The sequence below is a fragment of the Homo sapiens genome, chromosome 1, assembly GCF_000001405.40.
Source record: "Homo sapiens chromosome 1, GRCh38.p14 Primary Assembly".
NCBI lineage: Eukaryota > Metazoa > Chordata > Mammalia > Primates > Hominidae > Homo > Homo sapiens.
In genome coordinates, this window is record NC_000001.11 from 177,230,943 (window position 1) to 177,257,980 (window position 27,038).

The following is a 27,038-nucleotide window of genomic DNA, read 5'->3' on the forward strand; positions in this document are numbered from 1 at the left end:
CTGATTTTGTTTCTTTGTTCAAAGATACTTATTTTCTAATTAAAATTAGTTTTTCATGCAAAAAGAAAAAACATGAAAAAGCACAAAAGGAAACAGAAACACAAAACCATCCATTCTTTTGGCAACTAAAGGTTCCTGTTGTTAACATATTGGCTATGCATTTCTAGTCATATGAACACACTAATGTTTTTGGACCTGTTGTTAGATTTATCAACTTGCATGCCTTATATAAAGTAACTCCAACCCTATGTTGGAAAAACAGTTGTTTTCCCCATTTTACAGATGGGGAAATTGAGGCCCAAAGAAGTTAAGCAACTTGCTGAAGGGCACAAAGCTAGTGAATAGTGGAGCCAGGATTAGCTCGCAAGTAGGCAGATTGCAGAGTCTGGGTTCTGAAAATATATTTAGAGACATTTTCTTTTTTCTGGGAGTTCTTTTTTAACATCTGCAGTAACGAGGCAACCAGTTTAGATTAGTAAGGGGTCGCAGAAGTATGGTTTTAAGAGTATTCAGTACAGTGTCAGAAGATTCCCAAATGGTAAAACAGTGGCCATTTATAGAGGCCATTCACCTGCTTCAAAATTCCCACACTTGGGTGCAGACAAAGGAGCAAGGTCAGAGATATTTGAGGGGCTGGTACTTTGTGGACCCAGAGATTCATAGAAACAAAATCCTACTCTTAGGAATCACCTACCCAGCTCTCCTTTCAGGCCATTTTTCTCCCACTGTGCTTAGATGCAGTCTGGTCCTGGAAGAGACTGCAGTTCACACTCCCTGCTTTGGTGACTCTGGCCCTTGCCATCTTCCAAGGGCCACAGCAGAAATTCACATAGCATCACCGAAGCAGAGAGCACCAACTCAGGCTGGGAGGGGCTGAGTTTACACCTGCTCAGGTAAAAGCAGATGAGTAGAAGAGGAACAGAGTAGAGGGTTAACTCAGCTGTCAGTAAACACCTAAGAATCTCAAAGATGCCTCCCTACACTTTCTAGATGGCAAATTCAGGGTGACCTTCCCTTTATTAAAGAATTTTTTTCAATCTTTCAAAAAAATCAGAAAATCCACTCTAGAATGTGCTTAAGCAGAGAATCCCTCCAGTCCAGTAAAATAAGATTTAATTTACCTTAGACTTTTTAGTTTATCCCAAATCTCACAGAAGCACTGTTATCACCAAAAATAATTTTTAAAAAGTGTATTGGAATTGAAGTCAGGCTGGGAGTCCTAACACCACTCTCCACTTCAAGGAGCTGTAGAAACTAGAGGGAACAAACTCTCAGCTTCCTTATCCCCTCAGGAGAGTTTTCTTCCGGACAGCCTGGTAGCCACTTAGCACCTGGGCGGCAGCTCCAAGTTGGCCCACGGGGAGTGTCTGTAATCATTTCTGCACCATCAACTGTTCTATCAGTTGGTAATGGTTTTCTGATCATTTAATGTGACAAGCTCTTACACTGTGCCATTCTGTTTCTCTGGGGTCAGTTATTGCACATGAACCTGTACTTGAGGAAACAGTAACCAGTCATTCTGACAGGAGTGTAGTATTCTGATTTGTGACCTTTTGGTGGGGCAGAGAGAGGATAGTCACACACCGCTGCTTCAGGAGCATTCCTCGAGTTTTGCCTTTAGTGATGAAGCAAAATGGTGGCTCATGCGCACTTGTAGGGCTCTACATTATCCCAGTGGGAATTCATTTTTGTCCCTTCCCACTTTGTTTCTAGTGGCAATTTCCTCTGGCAAATTTAGGACCTTGCTGGATTGACTAAAGCAGGTCAAAGAAAACTGGTAAAACATACATCGACAGTCATCCTCAAATTTCTCTCCTATAATCCAGAAGAGTAGAAAGAGGAAAAAAAAAAACAACAGAGAATATCAGAAATGCTTTGAAGGGGAAATACTGGGTCTCAAACAGAATTAAGGTTTTGTTTCACCCTTTAAGGAAGCTTTTGGGGCATGGAAATCAGATAGTAGCCACATGTGTCTTCCATTTATAAGCGGATGCACTGTGGTAGAGAATAATAAACCTATGATTCAAGGGGGTCAGTATATTTGGTGCAGAATCACTTGAAGATTTCATAGGAAAGAGACCCTCCTTCTCTTCTACCTGTTGAACAGATCAAAACAATTGTACAGCAAGTTTCTAACATTAAACTACAAATTATACCTATTCTTATTAGGATGTTGGAGTATGCTCTAACTTTGAGATGACTAGTCATTCTAGAATAGCTGCAGCCTCTCTAATCACGGACCTCCAGAGATTGTTTTTCTCTTCATTACAAGTTTGTATTCATACAGACATAGGTGCTTAAGAGTGAAGGTCCTGGAGCCAGGTGACCTGGGTTCTAATCCTGGAGCTGCAACTTTCTACCTGTATAATATCGGGCAAATTACATAGTTTTCTTGTTCCTCAATTTTCCTATTTGTAAAGTGGGGACAGTAATAGTGCCTATCTAATGGATTAAGGTGAAAATTAAAGGAAGTATTTGATGTAGGCACTTAGGATAGTGCTTAATAAATACTGCCGATTTTTATTAGGTTGTTCTCTAAAAATTAGCCTATGCAGGAAGGATAATGAGATAAGAATCATAGGTGTTTTTTGCTTTAATGTCTGCTGAGGGTCTAGCATTCGACAGCCTATATTAGAAGGGGGAACACTGTTCTCTTGCTTTCCTTTTTAAAGCACGTTAACCTTTACCCTTCAATTCAGCTCTTTGCTGGGAGGGGAACTCAACTGAAGAATAATTGGATCTTCTCTGGGGCACACTCTTACTGGCCTTGTGGGCTACCAGAGGGAGCAAGATGGTTTCCAGCATATGTTAAAGTTGCCATAGGTCAAGCCCTTGTGTCTAAAGTTAAGGATGGCTCACTGAGCAGGCCTTTCTTAGGCATGTCCTCCAGTGGCCGGTGACTGCAGGCTCCTTTGTTCCAGGGATGAAAAGCATAGTCTTAGGATACACCATGAAGAGAACAGAGACAATATGCACTCTGGTTAAGCCCTCCTAGATAACAGGATGGGCTTGGGCATTTCACCCAATTTTTGACAATCTTGTAAATTGAACATTGACCAACCTCTCAGCATGTCTTTGAGCCTTGTCAAAACAAGATCTGATCTATTAGCCTCCTTCTCAGATCCATCTCTTAATAGGCTCATGGTAAGAGCTAGAAGAACAGAGGTCCTGTTTCCAGTTCCATGTGTGACTTCCGGGCTCCCCATACCTTGCTCCATTCCATAGCCCCCACTGCAATAAACGCTTAGAGACCAACTTTTCACAGCAGCCTTATGATGGGCTACTAGGGTCTAAGGCATGTGAAATGCACTTGTTCAAGGTCAGAGAGGTAGCCAGTCACAGCCAGAAATAGCACTCAGGGCTCCTGACTTGAAGTCTCCTGCTCATTACTCTAGACCATGCCACCTCCCTTTGACTGGTAAGTGCATCTTCATCATAACACGCACCTACTCAGGCACCTAAATTGAGCTGATGCAAATGTAAATATGGTTTCTTGAAACAATCTAGTGGTAATGTTCCATTCTCTCTTTGCTACAAATCAAAGTAATGAGCAGTCTGTTTTTTTTTATTTCTTTTTTGTATTAAGATTTTAATAGAGAGATAATCATGGGATTGGACAAAATCCAAGCCACTATGATGAAACACTTAAAACTCGGAAAGAATACATTAACATTGAGAGAGAAAGTTGGAAATCAAATAGAACGATGAGTGGTTGGGAGGAAAGCAATGCTGAATGGAATTCCAAAATATTGACCTTAGTCATTATCACATCTACTTCTAGCTACCTCTTTTTGGAAAGGGATGGTCTGGGGATACATTAGAAGCCACATGTTAGAAGTCAAAACAAAATAGAATTAAATACATATCTTTATTGACTAAAAGGGACATCATAGTCTTATCATATTGTGGGATATGTATGCAGATTTGTAGAATGAAACTGAACACTAAGAAGCTGTAGGGCTACCAGGGATAGAATCAGGTGATTGGTGAATGAGGCAGTAAACAAGGCACCAGAGCAACAACCCTAAGAAAGAATATCTGGAATTCATCAGGATAAACAATAAGACTTGGCAATAGCTTAGACGTGAAGGAAGTGCTCACCCAATTTTTGGCAACCTTGTAAATTTTGCTGACCAACCTCACAGCATGCTCAAAGTGCAGTCTTTGGACCCCCAGCATTAGCATCACCTGAGAGCTTATTAAAAATCCAGAACGTCAGGCCTCTCCCCAGACCTAAGGAATGAAAATCTGCATTTTAACAGGATCCCCAGGTGAACAAGATGGCATCAGAGCTTGAGGAGTACTGCACTTGTCTATACTAAGTATTTGGAGATGGAGACGGGAGCAAAAATGAAGAGGGTGGAGAAGCACAGAACGTGTACTGGAAAGACAGCATCCCCCATGAGGCATTTGCAGCAGCGAGACTATTTACAGGAGGCATTGCAAATAAAATAAAATAGGAATCCAGAGCGGGTAAATCTAGGAGTTATTAGTGCCAAGACATATGAACTCATAAGAGTAGGTACCGCAGCTGGGAGAAAAGTTGAACAGCAGAAAAGGCTGGAGGGCCTAGAAGCAGCCTGTGGGTGCCTCCCGGGAGATGGGGAAGTGAGGAGGCAGATAGCAGCTGTGGAAGCAATCACAGGAGGAGCTCCAGAGCTGATTTATCATCCGGACCACGTCTCTCTGACTAACAAATACTGATTTGGATAAACAGCGAACCCTGGGAGAGGCACCATCTCCAATTAAGAGATCACAGTCCATATAAATAAACAGCAACCAAAGACAACTTCAGTCTGCCTGGGTAAATCCCAGTGATTTCCAAGGTGTGCATTACAGCCACTGAGGTAGAGAAAGGCTACATTATCACGCGGCTTCAGGGCTCCAGAAGGGAAGTTGTAGTTCTCAGGTGGATGGGAAAAAGGAAGGAGGTTAGCTCTTCCGCATAAACCACCAGGCCCAAAGTAAAATGGTTGATCTCTGAACTTTTCACTGGGTTTGCGTTTTGACCATGAGGGAGTTTCTTGACGTGGAAGGAGATGAAGGAACGGTATACAAACTGGTATTGTGATTTAAATTAGAGCAAAATTAGAGGCAATATGGCAACAGTGAGCCTGCAGTTCTGGTTACAGGCACTATTTCTCAGTCCACAGGGGTGAGAAGGTAGGAGAGGGACAGAACAAAATGTTTAGAGGTTGCTTTAGCGAAGAGACCAGTACTGCCTAAACACACAGGTCCTGTAACATAAATACCTAACCTAAATAGCAGACGCAGCACAAGGCATCTTAGGCCTTCCGCCCAAGGAATTTTAACCCAGAAGTATCTGGACGACGAGCCCAGCATGTCCTTATCTTTGGGCAGAATTCTATTTCCACTTCTGGCATAGAAACATCATACCACATCAGTGCAGCAGACCTATATGGAACCCTCTTATGTGCATACAAATAACTGAATAAAAAAGCATTCTGCTGTCTTGGAGCAAGGAGAAATTTTACATAAACAAACAACTATAATTCTAGAACATATATAGAGACATAGTCATTCATTCAACACCCATTTTTGAGGGCCAGCTTGGTGCTTATTATTGCACTAGATTCTGATAATAGACTATAAACAAGGTTGACAGGGTTCTTGATCTGATGGCACTTACAGATAAGTAAGCAAGTGCTACATTGCTCTGCACAGAAAGGTCAAGGAAAGCTGGAATAAAAGGTAACACATAGGCAAAAACCGATGGATGACTGGAGACTCCAGGTGGAGGCTTGTGGAATGGTGGTGTAGATACAGGAGCAGTGTAACCAAAGTCATGGGAGCACTAGATGTGGTTTAGGAACTGAGCAGCCAGTCCCATGTCAAGAAGTGCATGGTGATGCCTCTCCTTTCCCTGTTCTTCCCCACTGGTTATTTATGCCATACTTTGTCTCTCTGAAATGCCAAAAGTGTCTCTTAGACACTGATTTCTTCCAGGGTGCAACTAAAAAAAAAAAAAAAACTCCCACCTGAAGAGGCATGTCATTTTCTAGCATTAGGGGTAAGTAAAATGAAGTAAAAATCACTGCATGTGTAGAGAAATTAGGACCAAAAGCAACTTCTTACATTTCTGCTTTGGAAAAATGAAGCGTGAATTCTCAACTGGTGAGGAGATGGTACATAGTACTTTAAGGTCCTGTTAGACTACTGGTTCAAATAAAAATTGACATGATTTATGCTCGAGCAATTGGATTCAGGGTAAGGTTACCACACCATACTTTTGCACACTTGATCCTCTCTCAAGTATTTATGGAGCATCTCCTTCGTGCAATGCATTATTCTAGGCACTATAGCAGAATACGAAAGACAGACAAAACAGGATACTACTGATTTCTGGGAGATTAGCAGTCCAGTTTGAGTGACAGCATACACATCAGAAAACACATTGGGATGCATCACCTCAAATGCTAGAAAGAAGACATTTAATACATTCTCAGTGATTGATGGACAGATTTGGTCTATGGATGCTGTGTCAGAATGAATTCTTAGGATGCCAGTCCCAAGCATCCCCAGGACACAATGGCTCTTGCCACACATTTTCCCATGTCTTTGGGGGCTATACCCAGGTTAGCCACCCTGGCTTGAGATAAGATTGCAAAGTTGATTTGTGAAGAGAAAATGTGAAAATAAAAATTTGGAAGAAATGAAGGGAGCATTCAGGATGGCCAAGGGGGGAAGGGAAGATCAGTTTTGTTTTCAGATGAGATTTGGTAAGAGATCTTGAGTCAGTCAGGCAAAGGAAAAGAGGATTAAATTTTGCTTCTAGAAATAATTAATTTTATTCATGAATGAATTGCTTCTTAGAGACGTGTGTGTGTGTAGAAAGGAGTGAGGTAGACTTCATCCGGAAACTGTCACGACACAGGTGCAGGCCGACAGGGACGCTGTCGAGTCATATGGTCTTTTTTTCTCTCTCTCTTTAAGAGAATAGCTTTTTCTAGGTCAAGGATTCTCAATATTTTTTTCTTTATTCAGCTTCTGCCACATTTCTCTCACCCCAGAGCTTCCCACATATCCCACAAGAAAAGCATTTCAGTATATGGAGCTTAGAACAGTGAGTGGCACAGGGTGGGGTGTTTCTTCATTCAGCCCATGTTTATCCAGGATTTGTATGTGTTGGCCACTCTACAAGGGCTGGGGACAGACCCTGAAGGAGACAGAGCCCAGGCCTCAGAGAGTTCTGCTTTCCAGGAAGACCCACGTATGCAAAGGATTAGAAGTGGGCGAGGCCTGTGGTATAGTAAAAAGTCTGGGTGAGAGGAGCTTGGCTCCCATGCCAGTTACCATCTTCCCCTCTGGGAGTAGAAACAGTGAGTCTGCTCACAAGGAACTGAAGATAAGTTGGGCTGCAGATGACAGCTTGGACCTGAGTCAGAGCTGGCAATGCCAGTCCTACAATCCTGCCTTTGCCCCAAACTAAAGTCAGCTGGGTTTGTCCATCAGATTGGTTTGCCTAATCCTAAGTGAAGCAACTAGAGAAGCCATCACTGGATTGTGGGGATGGGACAAGCCAGAAACCTCAGAGGGACAGCTCTGCCAAGTGAGCTGACTGTGAGGAGGGGGAGATGATCAGAAGCGTTTCCCATTGCAGGGCTTGAATGTCCAAGAGACAAGAGCCTTTTGTGAGCTGGGGTCTCAATCCATGAACTCTACACAGTATTGAGAAATATGGATGATAACAGCAGGCTCTCGCCAATCTCCCCAATTCTCCCATGGGAAGAAAAGAGTAAAGTGACAAAGAAAATAGATGGTCTGAAAAAATAAAAAATAGTTGGTCAAAATTTCTATTTAACTTAGGGAAAGAAAGCATTCTCTCTGTACTATGAGATATTAATGACATTAATGAATACTAGTAGCTAATATATATTAAATGCTCATCATATGCACATTTTACTAAGTACTTTATTAACATTAATTAAAATTATCCTAGTAAGAACCCCACAAGGGTCTGCTATTTGTACACTTATATAACAGATGAGGACACTGAGTTTTAGAGGGTGTCACATAACTGATAAGAGGAAGAGCCAGCACTCAACCAATAAGACAGGGAACCTGTCCATTAATGATAATTATTTAATGAAATAAATCACTGAGCCTGGGCTACTTAATGCTCTGAGAGAAACAGTGTCTCGGGTTGTCACTGGGGCTCTTTGTCCTTCTTTCTTTAGGCAGCCCGGTAGGTCTTTGAGATGCAGAAGACAGGCCTCAGAAGGCTGGAGGCTGACCCATTTCCCTCAAAGACCCTGTCATTCGTTCTCTCTTTCCACAAGAGTTTTCCATCTGTGCTTAGGCTCCGGGGAACCCTGAGTGGGAGGAAGCCACAGATGGATCTTCCTGAAACAATGCACCCACAGCAAATTCTGTATGTGTTGGTTGTGCACTGCTGGTGTGTTTCTACAAGGGTGCGATGTAAATCGAATTTCTGTAAATCGAATCCTCTCCTGGAGGAACACTTACTGCCATTGCCAAGATGCAGTATCTTACTTCTTGCCTGGCCATGGCTTATAAAAATTCAGTGTTAAGTAAATCCCTACCACCTGACTTTAGAATTAGGTAGGTACTGATTTGTAAACACACATGTCCACTTGGAAATGTCTTATATTTCAGGGAGTATTTTCATAAAGGCAGAAGAAACCTTTGGTGTTGCATGCAATCTCTGCTTATTGGTCTACTTTGTAAATTTGAATTTTCTTACAGTGATGAGATTGGTGTATGCTCTGTTACAGTCCCACTTGCCTTCACATTCACAGCACACTAGGCACTCAGGTGAAGCAGTGAGAGAGACATAGAGGCTGAGGCCCCTGAGTATATTTTAAGATTTCTAGGTATAGCTGTGCACAGATTAGGGCTGTTATATGTTTTGGGGAAGATGCAGGAATCTGGCAGGAGTTCCCAGCCATGTCTTCTCCATTGTACCTGTTTAATGCTCTATGATCCTGCCACCCTGCCAAGCTCTCCTCTGAGCCCAGAAGTGTGCCTCTTTCCTCCTCCTCTGCAAAGAGCAAACAAGCTCTGGATGTGACAGTGAATCAGAGTGAGTAAGAAGTCTTACTGGCTGGGCAGGAGGCCTGATGGGATAAAAACGAGGTAGCCAGAACCACTGCTCACCAAGTTCTTTGTTATGAGCCCCAGTGCCCTAGAGAATTCTCATTTTCTCTGTCTCCCAGGAAAGCCTCTGCCTCACTTGGGGACACACTGGTGACGAAGGAGGGATAGGAAGAAAGTCTCTTTGGGGAGTGAGTTCTCCTGGATCCACAGAGGCATGTAAACACCTAATGATCCCTTGACATGAGTTACGTAGTTGGTTTATTAGTAACAGCGGTAAACTTTAGCATCATAAGCCAGCCTCTTGCTTGGCTGGTTCTGTGTATGTTCTAAATTGTGAGTCTGATAAAGAGGGCATTACCCTTATTTGATCATTACATGCTGCATACATGGATTGGAATATTACACTGTACCCTATAAATGTACAATTATTATATGTTGATTAAAGAATAATTTTAAAACTTAAAATTCAATGAACCATCCCTAAATTAAAAAGAACAACACTAAAAAAGAGGAGTCGAGAGGAAAAGAGGCTGTGAGAGTCCCTGAATGTTGGCCTGGTTCATTGAGAAACTCAGGAACAAGTGAGACTCCGTAAAAGAAATGTGACTGGAGGCTGAGAATACATTATTTTGTCTTCTGCAACCACTAGGATAGATGTGTGCATGTTGGTGCCTACATATCACAGTCAGGCTAGAAGATGAAATCTGAAAACCACAGGGCTTATTAGCCTGGGACAAGAGGCCAAAGCTACACAGTGTTTGGGTGTGGAAGGAAGCTTGACAATGTGGGACGGCCAATCAGGGCTAAGTGATGCCAGAATCTGTGAGTTAGAAGGAAACTTAACATCACTTATTTCCTAGCCAGTGAAGACAACCAGTCTGCAGACAGTCAAGAAGGTGGTCAGTGGGTCCTAGCTTGAACAGTTCCAGCCATGAGGTGCTCACTGGAGCCAATATTTTTTTTTTTTTTGAGATGGAGTCTCGCTCTGTCACCCAGGCTGGAGTACAGTGGTGCGATCTCAGCTCACTGTAAACTCCGCCTCCCGGGTTCATGCCATTCTCCTGCCTCAGCCTCCCAAGTAGCTGGGACTACAGGCATCCACCACCATGCCCGGCTAATTTTTTGTATTTTTAGTAGAGACCGGGTTTCACCGTGTTAGCCAGGATGGTCTCAATCTCGTGACCTCGTGATCCCCCTGCCTCGGCCTCCCAAAATGCTGGGATTACAGGCGTGAGCCATTGCGCCCGGACCACTGAAGCCAATTTTTATTCAGCAGCCTAAAACATTATGAAGATCTTTTGGAAATCGAATCATAGTCTTTCTTCCCATAACCTTCCCTTATTGGTCCTGATTTTGCTTTCTTTTATTTCTCTAGAATAAGTCTAACTTCACAACAGGGCTCTAGATTTTGAAAACAGTTATTACTCTCCCCAATTCCTAGACTCGTTAGCGCTTTGTAACTTCCTTCCAGAGGTTCTTTCCTCCTCCTTCCCCTCCTCTCGCATTCTCTTCCACAAGCTGTCCTTGTTTGTTTTTCCCCAACTCTCCCTTTTCCATCTTTCTTCATGAAGAAAATACATGAAATTTATTTTGACATAAGGTTTTCTTCCTAAACCAATTCTGACTCCTAGGGAGCTTGCTTGCTTGCTCACATTTCAAAGTACTCAAGAATTTTGTCATGGATCAATATCAGTTTTTCATTTTAGAGTTTCTCAGGTCAGGCATTTCCCTCTCCCCAGACTTCTTTGACTTCTTGCTTTCTGTGCCATTGTCGAAGACTAGCGACAGTGGTGCCAGGTCACAGGCACACCTCAGGACACAGGGTGACTCTTCTGGAGCTGAAATCTCAGTGCTTCGAGGAACGTTGGAAATGTGCTGGAGTTGTGTCTAGAGAATACAGGTTTCTCATCCAAGTTCAAAGGATTACATCCAGCTGTTACTGAGTTTGATTTTGTATACCTAGATTTAGTTTTTGTGGTAAAATCATAGCCAGAGTTGAACTCATGAGGTCCTAATACACTTGTATCTGCTACACTCTTTGCCACCTGTATGAACAGCCGGTATGAACAGCCACCTGGCTACTGTCACTCCTGCCTCTTCTCTATTCTCTCCCCATCTGAGTTTTGTAGATTCTATCGCAGAACTGTCTTTCAAATCCAGCCTCTTTTCTTTTCCCCTGGCTTCATTGTCTACCATTCGTACTTTCCTCACTTCTCTAATGCAACCTGCCTAAGTCCTTGTTGGTCCATCTGTCCCCCAAAAATAAAACCCAAACCCATTTTCTTAGCATAAAACTCACTTCCAAATCCATTCATTCACTATTTCAACAAATAGTCAATGAATACTGACCCTCTGCCATTGATTGTGCCCCACCATTTCTTCCTGTTTTTCTTCTGTTCCAGTCCCGATGAACACCTCCAGATTTGCCCACAGAAGGCCCCCTTGATGTCCTGTGTCTTTCCATAACCCATTCCCTCTACCCCAAAAGCTCTTTATCTCCTCTGAGCTCCTTCTCACCTTTCAAACTCATCTAAATTATCATCGCCATATGAAGTCTTCTTTGACTCCTACAAGAGTTGGTTACTCCTACCTATGATTCCCCATCAGTTTATTCATATTTTTACCATACGAACTTATTTTTGTGCACTTGTTTATTTCTCTTTGCTCTTCACTAGGCTCTGAGCTCCTTCAGGCAAAGAACATGTCGTATTTCACCTTTATATCTCCTGACCCCAGCACCATGTCTGCCACACATAAGGGCATAATAAGAGGATGAAACCATTCAGTAGGAGTAGGATGTTCTGGGATGAAATTAGATGAAGGCGTAAACAAGTGGTTGAGACTCAAGGCTCTAGAATCAGACTGACTGGGTTAAATTGCAGTTTAAATTGCAGAATCAGACTGACTGGGTTAAACTGCAGTTCTGCTGCTTTTAGTTGTGTAAATTATTTTGCATCTCTGAGCCTCATTTTTTCTCATTAGTAATATTGGTGGAATAATAGTACTTTCGTTATAGGATTATTTGGTGATAACTGAAAAAAAAGATTTGGTTTATTTCTAGCTAAATGCTTATTCATTTTGTGAGGGGTCGCCCATTAGTAAATAAGAAAAAAAAAAGAATGAGAAATCTAGAGAAGAGTACAGGGAGAAAATAAAGAGAGATTAATTGAGAAAGAAGAAAGAATAGGTAGTCTTACTCTACCAGACTCGTTTTATGCATAGAACGCTGTACATTAATCAGATTTATCACTTATAGTCTACATACTGCTCTCCTTAACTGTAGCTTGAGTTAATCTAGCCACTGATTTTATAGTTGTAGATAGTTCAAAATAAATCATTAACAGTGACAGGTATTCTCCCTGTAGAGCACGACTCACACACCAAGATCCCACAGCATAAAAGACAAGGCCTCAAGACCAAAACCATCTCCCCCTAGACCCAACAAGCAAGAAGAAGGGAGACCACATACAGGTTTGTTGCTGAGCTGAGAAGAAATGGGAGCATGGCTACTTGACCACAGGGACAATAAAAACAGTAATTGAACCCTTATCCAGCTAGGCAATACAGTTAAGAGATCAAGAGCCAAGATTGTTTCATCAGGCTAGAATATTGGATAGATACAATCAAGACAGTATTAGTCAAAATAGGGTAACTGCTGAAACAAACAGTCCTCAAATCTGAGTGACTTAATGAAAGTTTATGTTTTTGCTCATGTCACACTCCAATACAATTTATGAGAGACATAAAAGGAGATTGCTTCATGAAATCATTCAGGACCAAGACTCCTACCTCATCACTGCCATTCCTTAGGGCCTCAGAGTCCTGGATCCTGGTAGACAAGGGAAGAGAAAGAGCATGAAGGATTTCATGAGAGGTTTGAAGGACTAGACCTGGACTCATATTCCACTGTAGAATTCAGTCACATGGCTATGTTTAAATGCAGAGGAAGCTGTGGGGGTGGGGGTGGGAAATTGTCCATCTGTGAGCCCAGGAGGAAAATGGAAACATCTTTGGAAACAACTTTCCAGCCTCTGCCACAAGGAGTGGAATGCAAAAAGAGGGCGAAATGTAAAGCCCTAAACTGAAGTTAAAAATGTCAATGTCACAAATATCAGAGACCTGACTTGGCTGTGATACTTGTGAAAAAAATTTCTGGGGCTGGAAAGAAATATGGGATACTGGCTGATGATATGATTATGGTTAGCAAAGAATATTTTTGTCTTTAAAAAATGAGTGTAATATTCAAGTACATTAATAAAGAAAATATATATAGCAGCAACAGCATACACTGCCTTCACGTCTTACTTATCTTTGTGTCCTTGTGTGTGTCCTAAATTATCTGAGCCTCAACAAGCTTAGCTATAAAATAGGACTAAAGCTTGTGGTGTGTGTCATTTAACTATTGCTACAATGATGCATACAAAACAGCAAAATTCAGTAGTTTAAAAATAATTTCTTCCTTAGCTGGGCGTGTTGGCATGTGCCTGTCGTCCCAGCTACTCGGGAGGCTAAGGCAGGAGAATTGCTTAAACCTGGGAGACAGAGACTGCAGTGAGCCGAGATCATGCCACTACACTACACTACAGCCTGGGTGAAAAAGTGAGACTCCATCTCAAAAAAATAAAATAAAAACGAAATTTATTCTTACTCATTCATGTGCAGGTTCGCCGGGTTAGCTTTGCATCACGCTGCTGGTCTGCAAGGAGGCCATTAGGTGTTTCTTCTAGTGGTGTTTATTCTGGGGCCCAGGCTAAAAGAGCAGCACCTGCAGTACCTGGAGGAAGCAGTTCTCATAGTAAGGGCAGAAATGCAAGATGGAGAGTAGAAATATGCAGTATCTATTGAGGTCTTGGCCCCAAATCAGCACACAGTCCCTTCTGCCCTCATTCCTTTGTCCAAAGCAAAGTCACAAAGCCAAACCCAATATCACTGAGGGAAGGAAATAAGCTCCCCTCTCACAAGTGAGTGATATTGCAAAGTAACATGTCAAAGGGCACTCTAATACTGGCGAGAATGATGATTCAATCAACCACACTGACATCTGTAGGATTATAGTGACAATTTAAAAATATATAAAGTATCTACTTCCATTCCTAGAAACAGAGGGTCTCACTAATAACTGAAACTATGATAATGGTCATAGTGATGGTGATAATGATGTATTCAGATCTTGTATCCTAATGTACTCTCAGTGGCTCAGAATATATCTACCAGATTGTGTTCAATTTTGGTTTCCATCTTTAAAAAGAAAGAACGTTGACAAGCTAGATTGCAAGCAGAAAAGGTGGAGCATGTAGGCCTAGGAATCTGGAAACTGTGTTGAAGGAACTAAAACTATTTAGTCCAAAGAAGAATGGCCTATATAAAAATTAAATGCACCAAAATACCAGAGGGGCTATTTCTTTGCAAAAGGAATAAACTTGTAGAATAATGGAAGGAATTACCAGTCTGTGGGAATTCTCTGGGAGTCAAGTAAATAAAGGAAGCTCATGAAGACATCTGATGGGAGAAGCATTGCATGGGCCACTTGCTGAGCAAAGACAAGCACAATGGGAGGCAGATAGTGGTGAACAGAGCTATGCTGTCCACAGTTGAGCAGATGAGATGCTGGGGAGCAGTTTGGGATGTCAGGAAAGATCTGACAGTTTGTGCCTGGGAAGACACAGGTCTCAGCTCCCTCTTCAAATCCTTCTGGTCACACAGATTCACTGGGCCCTCATTCCAGTGGGTCTGTTGTCTTTCATGTTGATTCTATAAACACACCACTCTCAGTGCCCTCCCTATGTCCCCAAGCCCCACCAGGGCAGTGTGAGAATAGCCAAACAGTGATCTCCTCCTCCTCCTTTAAGCTTGACTCTCCCCTCCCCCATTTCTCCCAATCAGCCTTAATTAAACTGTTTGAAAGCTGCAGCTTGATTTTAATTAGAGCAAAATTGGGAAGATTAGAATGAAATTGGCCAATCATTGTTTACGGGCCGTTGTTTGAGAACACAGCAGGCTGCTAAATTACCTCCATGCCAGGCTTCTTGAATTCTCCCAGACAGTGAAAAGATGGAGAGCACCAGGACATCAGGGAAGAGATGGCCTCATTTCTGTTCTTGTGTCTCTAAGAATTGCAAGGGCTGAGATATTACTTAACCAAACAACTCCTGGACTGAAGCCTTCCTGCCTGGGGATCTCTCCCAGCCACAGTGGTAAACAAGGCAAAAGAATTACCTGGGAAATATGACAAAGGTGGACAGTACTCCCTGAGCTTGAACACAGGTCACAGACAAAGGCAGAAAATCATTGGTAGTGTGGTCTAGGTTCTAGTCAAACTCTACCACTAGTCAACTGAGACTTGGGGCAAACCATTTCTCTCAGTTTCTCTGTCTCCTCATGTGTTAACATGTAAAAGCTTAATAGTTGATTAATGATATTTTCTCTCCCTTTCCCCCAAGGTCCCTGTATAGATAAAATAAGCGTGTGTAAAAATTGTGTGCAAAAAACAGTTTGGATATCAAGACAACTGTTCGGAGAATAATAGCCTAGTCCCTTTCAGCACTGTAGTCCTTTTGAGCAATAAAAGTTGGAGGGGGTGCCCCCAAAAGAGAGACTACTGGAAATAGATCAGGAGGGCCAAAGAATAGAGAAGGTCAATGTCCCTACCATGATAGCTGACTGCTTCTGTCATTGTTTGCAAAGTGGGTTCCATTGCTGCTTTAAGACTTCCCCCCAATCTCTCAGGAAAGCACTACGCCAATATATGGGATTATGATTTTTATTATCGTTTCGTTTTATAGCTCAGATTAATCATGTCTTATTCATTATAGCAGTAAAGTCTCTAATAGCCAAGTACATTACAGTAATCTGTTGTTGAGATAGAAATCTCCTGGTCATGTGATGTGTCTGGAAATACTGCCTCTGTATTGGAGCCAAAGTATGATATATCCTTAAGCCCCTAAAATGTCCAGCTTGATAGAGAATGTGAAACTATCATAGCTGAGTCACTGGGTAAAAAACTGGCATCACTCAGTGTACATGTTGGCTTTGGCTATTCTTGTTCATGTGAGTTTTTCAAGATGAAAAATGTGAGTCCTATGAAAAAGACAAAATGGTGATGTCATCGCTTGGTGGACTGAGTTCTGTGATGGGAGCAGTAGCCCTGGATGTGAGGTATATTGGTAGAAAGATGAAGAAAGAGAAGACTTCCTGTGTCTGAAATTCTTTAGGAAAATCAGCAGTGTGAAACTCAGTGGTACTTATTGATTTTCCTCTGTCCAGTTGGCAAGTCTCAAGCTAATTGTGGAAAGGCAAATCTCCAAGACAAAGGCTCTGAGAACAAAGACAGTTGAACTTACCCAGAACTGGTTGGTATGTGAGAAAATTTCCCATGGGTCATTGGTTGACAGTTTAAGTAGACAAAGTAAAGTCCCAGGAAAAATGACAAGAAAACTATGTCCTTGGCTTGAGGCCAGTCTCTTTTGCTCCAGAGTTCTTAAATATTTTATTCAATAACATGTCCTCTGTTTATCTTCATTTTTCAGGGAAAACCAGTTTGGTTCAAACTGGAGAATAATAGCCCAGTCTCTTTCAGCACTGCAGTCCTTTTGAGCACTAAAAGTTGGAGGGGGTGCCCCCAAAAGATAGATCATTGGAAATAGATCAGGAGGGCCAAAGAATAGAGGTCAATGTCCTTACCCTGACAGCCCACTCCTTCTGTCATTGCTTGCAAAATGGGTTCCGTGGCTGCCTTAAGACTTCCCCACAGTATCTCAATTCTGAGAAACGCAGAATAGTGAGCAGGCGGTGATTGGTTGGCTCTGCTGGAAGCAGCATTGATTTCCTCCTCAGTAAACCCAGCCTGGAGTCTAATGCAGGAGGAACAAATGTCTCCTAGTATGCAGGGGCACACTGACACCAGGATAGGTTGGTGCCAAGCCTGCAGGGGTGCCACGGTGGAGGGGGGCGGATAGAGCTGCATGCTTAGGATACAGGGATGTGACTTTCCAAATGACAGCCCTATCTGTGGACTTGGAAATGGGCCGGAACATGCTTCCCCCGCAGAGGTAGAAAGATGAAAGATCTATTAAAAAACTGGAAACAGAATAATCCGGCTGTTCGTGTGAAGTTATAGCACAACCACCCACATTGTAGGCTACAGTATTCATTACAGGTTGAGTATCACTTATCCAAAAAATGTTGGGGACCAGAAATATTTTGAATTTTTTTTCAGATTTTAGAATATTTGCATTATACTGGATCAGCATCTCTAATCTCAAAATATGAAATTCTAAATGCTCCAGTGAGTGTTCCCTTTGAGAATCATGTTGATGCTCAAAAAGTTTTGGATTTTGGAACATTTTAGATTTCAGATTTACAGATCAGGGACACTCAACCTGTACTTCTAGATTTCAGCTTCACTGAGGTACAGTTTGTGTGTGTGTGTGTGTGTGCGTGCGTGTGTGTGTGCGTGTGTGTGTGTGTGTGCGTGCGTGTGTGTGTGTGTGTATTTTTTTTTAATACTCTCCCCCTTAAGGCTGCATAGGGAGGGAGGCTTCATAGGTAGTGACTCTTCACAGGGGCCAGGTCAATGTTCTCAGTTTATGAGTCTGGAAACTGGTGCTTCTGTGTGCAGCTGCTGGAAACAGCACCTGGGCTGGAAGACCCCAGCTGTGCTCTTTCTGAGTCTTTCATCTTCAGGCACGAGACCCTGCAGGGGGATTCTTGCTGGGAGATTTCTTGTTGACCTTGTGTAACATAGTGCTGCAGGTGGCTGCTGACATAAGAATCAGTAGCTTGAGTCGGAGGCAGCACTTTTTATTTACATCTTTTGAATTAGGAACATTTGTAGCCATTTAGTATTCTCATCGGAGACCCTTTTGCTTCAAACCCAGAGCTGGCCCAGTCTCAAAACCCTGCTGAAGCTCCTGTGCCTGAGATCTGGCATGGCTATGGTTCAACTCTCTTATTGCAGGGCCCCTTTGGATTTTAGGGAAATCCCTAAACTCATGTACAACCAGAAGCATCATTTTTTGGCAATCTGGACCACTAGTGTTATGCAATTTGGGATAAAGATAACTACAATTACTTCAGCACTGATTATTTAGATATCATTATATCTAAAATATTCTGAGTGTCGGTATGCTTGGCTGATTTAACACATTGGATTATACCTTCCAGGCTGGGTTATCCCTTTCCTGGACATTGTTTTGGTTTTTATTAATGATTTTATGTGTATGTTCACCCTTTCCTGGAAATACATATTGTTCACTCTAGGCTAACCTAAAGCATGCTAGAGGAAGATGGAAAATGGACTGAATTTTTGTTAATTATAGCAGTTTACTGAAGTACCCTTTATATGTGCAATGTGAATGCATTTTACAGGCAAAGTCCACAGGGAAGGGCTCTCTTTACCCTTTGGCTCAACCTGTCAGCCCTGAATGCAGTGGCCACTCCTATTCTAAAGACACTTTACATAGGGACTATAGGGCTGTTAGAAATGTTTGCTTTCTCAGACTGTTTACTGTGTAACAAACACAGTGGGAGAAGATTTTAGGAGAAATGGCTAAATTGAAATGGAGATTTACTTGATATCTTAATTGAAACAAAGATGATGGCTTAATTGAAGCAGTGTGTGTTAATATAATTGATATATAGAAAACATCCTTTTCTTAGTTTAAAAAAAAGAGCCTTGATTATTCTATTACTGGGGGGAAAAGCTGCTAAATGAAAAATCAGAAATGAACATTTCTTCTTTGAATAGCTCAGGCTGCCTTCCAGTATTGCCTCTGAGGTTTGCAGATGCTGGAAAGAACCAGGTTATTAAGTTCTGTAAGCACATTTTTACCACTTTCTGGCTCAAACACCACTCATAGATGTTTCTCTATTATTTTGGTTCCATGAAGGGCCCCAGAGGGCAAGGAAGAAACTTATTGGGGTAGAAGAGAAAACCACTGGGAGCCCCTAGAGTCTGAACCTTTCTGTGGCTTAGTACTTATGCCTAATGTTTCTTTTTTGAGACAGGAGTCTTGCTATGTTGCCCAGGCTGGACTCGAACTCCTGTGGCTGAGGCCTTATGCCTCATAATTTTTGAGACAGGGGTCTTGCTATGTTGCCTGGGCTGGACTCAAACTCCTGGGCTCAAATGATCCTCCCACCTCAGCCTTCTGAGTAACTGGGACTACAGGCACTAGCCACCATGCCCACTTGAGTCTAATTCTGAGTTGATAGCCCACTGTAATTTGTGATGAAAATAGATTTGGGTTTTTTTGTTTGTTTTTTGTTCTTTGGCAAATGTAGCCACTTGTGTGCATTCTTTGTTTGTTTGTTTGTTTGTTTGTTTGAGATGGAGTCTTGCCCTGTTGCCCAGGCTGGAGTGCAGTGGCACAATCTCGGCTCACTCCAACCTCCACCTCCCAGGTTCAAATGATTCTCCTGCCTCAGCCTTCTGAGTAGCTGGGATTACAGGCACCTGCCATTGCGCCCGGCTAATTTTTGTATTTTTAGTAGAGAACAGGTTTCACCATCTTGGCCAGGGTGGTCTCGAACTCCTGACCTCGTGATCCACCCGCCTTGGCCTCCCAAAGTGCTGGGATTACAGGCATGAACCACGGCGCCCGGCTGCCACTTGTATGCATTCTTATGGATTCTTTCTCCAGTGAAATTCTCCAAATATAGTCCCTATCCTTATAATCCCTATATGGCACTATTGAAACTCTCTCCCCACATGCACACACTTCTACTCCATAGCACAGTTGTTCCTCAGAGTTTCACAGGTGGAGGTAGTATAGCCTAGTGGCAAAGGCTGTGTGTACTGGAGTCAGACAGTCTGTGTTTAAATCCTGACCTTGCCACCTACTAGCTTTTAACTACTGAGCAAATTAACTTATTTGTACCTCAATTTCATCATCTATAAAATGAAGATAATTATATTTTCCCCCTTATATGGTGTTTTGAATATAATATTAACTAATCCTTGTAAGATGCTTGGAATGCCTATCACATACTAAAAATTCATTAAATGTTAGCCATTATTTTTTATTATTTGCTCATAAAAAGCTTCCTTAGACAGTATCATTCCTTTTTCTAGGTCATTCACTATTCTGTATTATGATTTATTTAGCAGCCACAGGAGCTGGACTTAGGCCTTTATCTGTGATTCCTCCCATGTACTCTCTGTATGGACTTGGCTTTTTGAGGCATCTCAATTTCTTCTCCTGCAAATGGGCAGGTTAAAACTGGCTTAATCCAGGAACATTTTGCTGCGGTGTAAATGTTATGCTATGTTTTGAATATACAATTAATCCATGTTTTGTGTAGAAAATGTAAAAAGTGGAATGTTCTGGGTAATAAAAATATTTGTGTTAAAGGATACTAAACACCACAAAAAAATTAGAATGCAATGAAATACACTTAACATTTAACCTTATCTACTCGAAGGAAAACAGTGCTATAGAAACAGCAGTATGATATTGGCCTGGGTTTTAAGCACAACTCTGTCATTTACTAACTGTGTGACTTCATCCACACTACTTTCTTAATCTCTCTGGGTCCAAGTTGTGACTATTGTCACCACCATCATAGTTGCTGTTAATAGCATAGAAGGAGGGCCAGGACACTAGCTTTTTGTTCTGGTTCTATTATCAACTGGCTTTATTGCTTTAGGTAAACCACTTACCCTTTCTGTTTTATGAGAAACATAAGGAAACTAGAGGATACTAGTTCCCATCCAGACCCAGTGTCTGACTGGGCCAGACAACAGACTACCAATTTTTATTTATTATATTTAATTAAAGTGGGGCCCACCTCTATGCTAAGTTGGCCTTTCCTTTCCGTGAGGGGCTTCGACCATTATAAGAAACTATGGAAATTGTAATAATGTCTTTTTCCCCTAGCAATGTAGAAAAATAATAGATTAGAAATTATTAGTTAATGAAGTCTAGACATGCCCTATCCCAAAGCAAGGGGGCTGGGTTTGATGACCCTAAGGTTTTTTGTTTGTTTATTTGCTTTTAGTAATCTGATTTTATGATTCATCAATGTAATTATCAACTAACCAGTGAGAGGATTCTAGTTTCCATCCAGCCAATTAGAGATGAGATTAGGCAACTGTTCTTTACCCTGCAGTGGGGTTTGGGATAGAAAATACTTTTGACAAATACTCTGTACTTTAATTAAAGCTTAGCATTTGCTGCACAAAGGAAATAACTGACAATATATTATTATGAACTTACCTGCTTAGATAAATAAAGCTACACAGCGGGAATTTTGAAGACTTTGTTGGAACCATGAATTATTAGTCACCCGCTTTTCTTTGTTTCCCTAGTAACATTTGACACATGCTCCTCTCTCAGTCTCTACAGTTAGATGGTGGGATTTATGCCTCAAATGTGGCATGGATTTTTATTTATTCATGTATTTATAATTTTAATTTTAAAAATTTTGTTTATAATTGACATATCCGGCACAACAGTGTATTGGTGTGATGTTTCAATACATGCATACACCGAATAATGATCAAATCAGGGTAGTTAGCATATACATCACCTCAAACATCTATCATTTCTTTGTGGTGATAACTTTCAAGATGCTTTTTTCTAGTTACTTAAAATCTACAGTACATTATTATTAGCCACAGTTACCCTACTATGTAATAGAGCACATAACTTATTCTTCCTAACTATAACTTTGTATCTGTCAACCAAGCTCTCCCCATCTCCCTTTCCCACTACCCTTCCTAGCCTCTGGTAACCACTGTTCTAGTCTCTAATTCCATGAGATCAACTTTTTTAGACCTACATATGAGTGAGGTTATGTGGTATTTGTCTTTCTATGCCTGGCTTATTTCACTTAACATTACGTCCTCCAGGTTCATCCATGTTGCTGCAGATGATAGGATTTCATTCTTTTCACAGCTGAGTAGTATTTCATTGTGTATATCATCAGTTTATGGACATTTAGGTGGATTCCATATTTTGGTTGTTTTGAATGGTGCTGCAATAAACATGAGGGTGCAGATATCTCTTTGATATACTAATTTCAGTTCCTTTGAATATGTACCTAGTAGTGAGATTGCTAGATCATATGTTAGTTCTATTTTTAGTTTTCTGAGGAATTTTCATGCTGTTTTCATAATGACTGCACTAATTTACACTCCCACCAACAGTGTATTAGAGTTCCCCTTTCTCTGCATCCTGACCAGCATTTGTTATTTTCTGTCTTTTTGATAACAGCCATTCTAACTAGGGTGAGGTGACATTTCACTGTGCATTTGATTTGTATTTCCCTGATGATTAGCGATGTTGAGCATTTTATCATATACCTGCTGGCCATTTTTATGTATTCTTTTGAAAAATGTCTATTCAAGTCTTCTGACCATTAAAAAAAATGTTCTTTTGCTATTAAGTTATTTGAGTTCTTTACATATTCTGGATATTAACCCCTTATTGGACTCATAATTTGCAAATATTTTCTTCAGTTCTGTAGGTTGTCTCCTCGCTCTGTTGTTTCCTTTGCTATGCAGGAGCTTTTCAGTTTGATGTAATCCCATTTGTTTATTTTTGCTTTTGTTGCCTGTGCTTTTGAGTTCTTATCCAAAAAAACTTGCCCACATCAATGTCATAAAGCTTTTCCCCTAAACTTTATTCTATTAGTTTTATAGTTTTGAGTCTTATGTTTAAGTCTTTCATTCATTTTGAGCTGATTTTTGTACATGGTGAAAGATAGTTTTATTCTTCTGCATGTGGGTATTATGTTTTTTCAGCACCATTTATTAAAGATATTCTCCTTTCCCCAATGTGTGTTCCTGGCACCTTTGTCAAAAATCCGTTTATTTATTTTTAATTATTTTATTTTTATGCAACTCTATCATTTGCATTTCATGGACATTTGGGGAAGGTTAGACCAAGATTTGGCACTGTTATGATGAGCAGATTTGGGATGGGTGAAGAGGGTGTAAACACTTTACATTTTGTTGCTTCCTAAGGCAGTGGAGCTGGTTCTTACCAGTATAATTTGGGGGACAATGGAAAACTCATTTTTTATTAATGGATATGATTCTTTAAATTTCATCCCAAGACAAAGATTTATAAACCTGTCCCCTTTAAAATGCAAACATTCCAGTGAGGAGCAAAGCATGAAAATTAAAATCTTCAACAGGATTAGAAAGGAACAACTTTGCAATCTTCTAGAATAAGGCTTCTCAAAATATGGATCCGCTTAGTCTATTTCAGAGTGTTCATGTTGACATTTGCACTGAAGGTACAAAATAAAACTGCTGGTACTTTAATTTGAATAAAAGCAGTCATACCACATAACACTAAGAGTCATGTATTCTTCATCATTACACACTTGCACCTAAACACATAAGCACACATGCACACACACACACACACACACACACACACACTATCTTCACTTAAGAATGTCCTTAAAGCAGTAACATTTATTACTTTTATTAAATCCTGACCCTTGGGTACATGTGTTTTTAATATTCTGTAAGATGAAATGGGAAGTGCACATAAAGCAAATCTGAGGCTACTTAAGTACTATAATTATCTCAAGGAAAAATACTTTTGTGGTTGAGTTGCAAGCTGAACTAGCCACTTTTTTCATGGAACTCCATTTTTTCTTGAAAGCACAGGCAACAAATTGTGATTATTCAGACTTGAGTGTCTAGCAGGTGTTTCTCAAAAAAAAAAAATGAATTAAGCCAGACTCTGCAAGGAAAACAACTGACAGTATTTGTTGCCAATAATAAAATTTAAGCTTTTAAATGAAAATTCAAAGTTTAGAAAACTTGCATTCATCCTCATGAACTTGACATTTTCCTAATATTTAAAGACGTTGAAGAGATTGGTCATGATATTAAATAGTGAGATGTTTTAATATTATATAATGAAAAGTGTCAAAATGTGGAAGATCTGCATAACTTGGTGACCTGATATTTTCCAGATGACCAACACATGATGTTACAACATTATGCAGGATAAAAAGATCCATTCAAATTACAATATAGAACACTGGATTTAATGTAACAAAGCATGAAAAGTTCACTGATATGATTTCAGATTCCATATTGTAACTAACCTTTAAGAAACTACCATCTGTTTAGTTTAGTGTAGTACCAAAGATGAAAATCCACAATTATGAAAACAGATTGAATGTAGAAGCAAATATGAGAGTGCAGCTCTTTTCTGCTAAGCCTGATATTAAAGAGATTTGCAAACATGCAAAGCCATGCCACTCTCCTTGCTAAATTTGTTTTGTTTCAGAACATACAGTTGTCATGAAAATGTTATGTTATATGTAATGGGTTTATTAATGTTATCTCTAAATGAAATAACAAATGTTGATTTTCTCGGTTTTGATTTCTAAAATGGTAAATCTCAATAGCTCTAAGCCACATGTACAAATATGGGGATTCAATAATTTTTAACAGTATGAAGGGGATCAGAGATCAAAATATGAGGGCAGTGGTTCTAGAGCAAGCTTCCTGACTTCACAGGTGAGTAACTGAGGCCATGAGAGGGGATGTGACTCATTCACGGTAAGACAACTGTGATTAGATCACATCTTTGCAAACCACTGTTCCAATGTTTGTTTTTTCTACTACTCAACACTGTAAACCATGACTTCATGTGAATAAGCTAATCAACTACTGTCTGATGAGAAAGTTGGCTGGGAGAGGCTCTGATGTAGATCAGTGGAGACAGAGCTTTCTTACAGCATGTGAATGACAGGCCAGGTGAGAGGCCAAGGGGCCTCTTCCAGGCTCTGGGCACCTCCAGCTGAGGGGATGTGGGCTGAGAGGAGATGAGTGGCTGCAAGTGGAGGAAGAACATTACCTACTTCAGATTTTATGCCTCTTGCTCTGAAACGAGGTCAGCTTTTCCTTATCCCTTGGCTTTTCCCCCAGGGAGTTTGCCCGTTGGAAGGTGAACAACTTGGCTCTGGAAAGGAAGGACTTCTTCAGTTTGCCATTGCCTCTTGCCCCAGAGTTTATCCGGAACATTCGCCTCCTTGGAAGGAGACCCAATCTGCAACAGGTTACAGAAAATCTGATTAAAAAGTACGGCACTCATTTCTTACTTTCTGCCACCCTTGGAGGTAAGCAACATCACAATCCCAAGCTAATTGGTTGCCAGACCATTGGAAATAACGTTAAGACTCGTGTAGCGTAGCTCCAACAGTCTTATCTTCTTCCGGGCCTTTTATTGCCTGAGAAGTCTTTCTGGTGCATTTGAAAACAGTGCAGTCTCTTGACATCTCAATTTACCCCAGAACATCTCTATTTAATTATTCCCTGAGGAGGGGAAGTTGGGTATGGCGGTTGGAGGTGGACAGGCTCCTAACAAGCACTTGCCAGCAGGGGGCACTCCCAGTTTTCGCTCCGCTGAGTCACCCAACCCCTGAGGCTTCGCCACTTTCTAATGTTTGCTGTGGCTACAATGGTCAGACCCACAGGCAAAAAAGTCGAAGTCCCTGGAGTCCCTGACCCCTCTTCCTCTCTATAACGATTGGAAACTGTCCAAACCAACTCCAGTAGTTCTGGGCTGATGAATCATCCTCTTGTGGGGCGGAGAGTGGGGGTAGGGTGGAGCAATGTGGGCTAGGACCCAGGGCAGGATCAAAATCTCTGAAGATGCAGAGCTCCCTCTGCCCTGGGAAGAAGGAAGCAGGATTTATTATAACATTTAGCTCACTGTCCAATCGACTAAAACAAGCTCTCCCAGGGCTCGGGCCAGCTGTCGGCACGCGGCAGGTGTTGAGTGTTTGATGGGGAGGAGGGAGATGCCCCTTCAAGGCTTTTGCCCTTCCTGAGGGAGCAGAAAAAGCCACGAAGACTCCTCGTAAACAACTTGAGAGAGAGAATTGTGTCTCCCCTATGAAGATGGATTGCTTGAGACAGAGTTCAATAGAAGATGTTAAACAGATAAGCTGAGGGCAGGGGGACTGAGCTTTGGAAGAGGGCCTTTCAGGCAGCGAGGCCGCTGGCCTGTGGCTCCCTCTGATGAGCTTCTTCTAAAGATGGTAAGGGCTGGGGGAAGAGCTTGGCAGCAGGGGCTGCACTCTCTCTCAGCTGTGTCTATCTTGGCCAAGGGTTTTATGTTCCTATTGGTAGGGGATTCGAGAGCAGAGAGCGTCACCAATACACTCGTGTTGTTCACCATAGGAGAAGAGTCCCTGACCATTTTTGTGGACAAGCAGAAACTGGGAAGAAAGACAGAGACAACAGGAGGTGCCTCTATAATCGGGGGCAGTGGGAACAGCACAGCTGTGTCCCTGGAGACCCTGCACCAGCTGGCCGCCTCCTACTTCATCGACAGAGAGAGCACGCTGCGACGGCTGCACCATATCCAGATAGCCACGGGGGCCATCAAGGTAATGACCTGAGAGGTACAGGGAAGGGGATGGGGGAAGCACTGAGGAACCAGGGGGAGGCCAGAGCCTCAACCATCTCTAGGTCAGCTGGGCCGACTGATGGAAGAGGAAAAGAAGCTTTCTGATGAAGACACAGCCAGCCTTCAGACACGATGGGGTCATTCATTCCACTGCAGACACTCACAGAGCACCCACTCTGAGGCAGGCTACAGCAGAGGCACGTCTGTGAATGGCAGTCAAGGTCCCCATGCTCACAGAGGTTGCACTCTGGTGGAGGATGGAAAAACAACAAAGTTATTTCTAATGATAAATAAAGACAAGACAGAGTCATAGGTGTACATTTCCTGGGGCGTGGGGAGGGAGCAGCTCATACGATTATTATTAGATTGATCATGGAGGGCACTTTGGGGTTTAGACTTTGAGCTCTGAATGATAAGAAACCAGCTGTGTGGAGAAGTGAGCGGAAAGTGTTCAGGCAGACAGAACAAAGTACTAAGTACTTGTTCCAAGTAAGTACTAAGGCCTTTTAGCAGGAACCAGCCTGGTGCCTTGTTGGGGCACAGAGAAGACTGCTGAGATGATGGGGAGGTGAATAA

General features: G+C 41.7%; 1 protein-coding gene and 1 long non-coding RNA gene across 4 annotated transcripts in view, besides 1 other annotated feature; one reads left to right on the top strand and one right to left on the bottom strand.

Annotated features, from left to right (window-relative positions):
- BRINP2 (BMP/retinoic acid inducible neural specific 2) overlaps positions 1–27,038 on the top strand; it is a 111,465-nt gene that overhangs the window by 59,985 nt on the left and 24,442 nt on the right. For all 3 annotated transcript variants that reach the window (XM_005245379.3, NM_021165.4, XM_024448722.2), the window contains 2 exons: positions 24,977–25,167; positions 26,234–26,442. In XM_005245379.3, the coding sequence (XP_005245436.1) occupies positions 24,977–25,167; positions 26,234–26,442 (400 nt within the window). The remainder of the gene's footprint in view (positions 1–24,976; positions 25,168–26,233; positions 26,443–27,038) is intronic.
- LOC105371625 (uncharacterized) lies at positions 12,742–25,097 on the bottom strand. The gene is made up of 3 exons (XR_922299.4): positions 24,910–25,097; positions 13,727–13,852; positions 12,742–12,907 (listed from the first exon to the last, which is right to left on the bottom strand). It is a non-coding gene; the product is annotated as an uncharacterized LOC105371625 (long non-coding RNA).
- Positions 24,538–25,737: an enhancer, noted in NCBI's record as "CDK7 strongly-dependent group 2 enhancer chr1:177224616-177225815 (GRCh37/hg19 assembly coordinates)". NCBI's record gives its function as "activates an origin of replication core promoter dependent on BRD2, BRD4, P300/CBP, MED14 and CDK7 cofactors, with strong dependence on CDK7, by STARR-seq in HCT116 cells {active_cell/tissue: HCT116}" and the evidence as "EXISTENCE:reporter gene assay evidence [ECO:0000049][PMID:35650434]".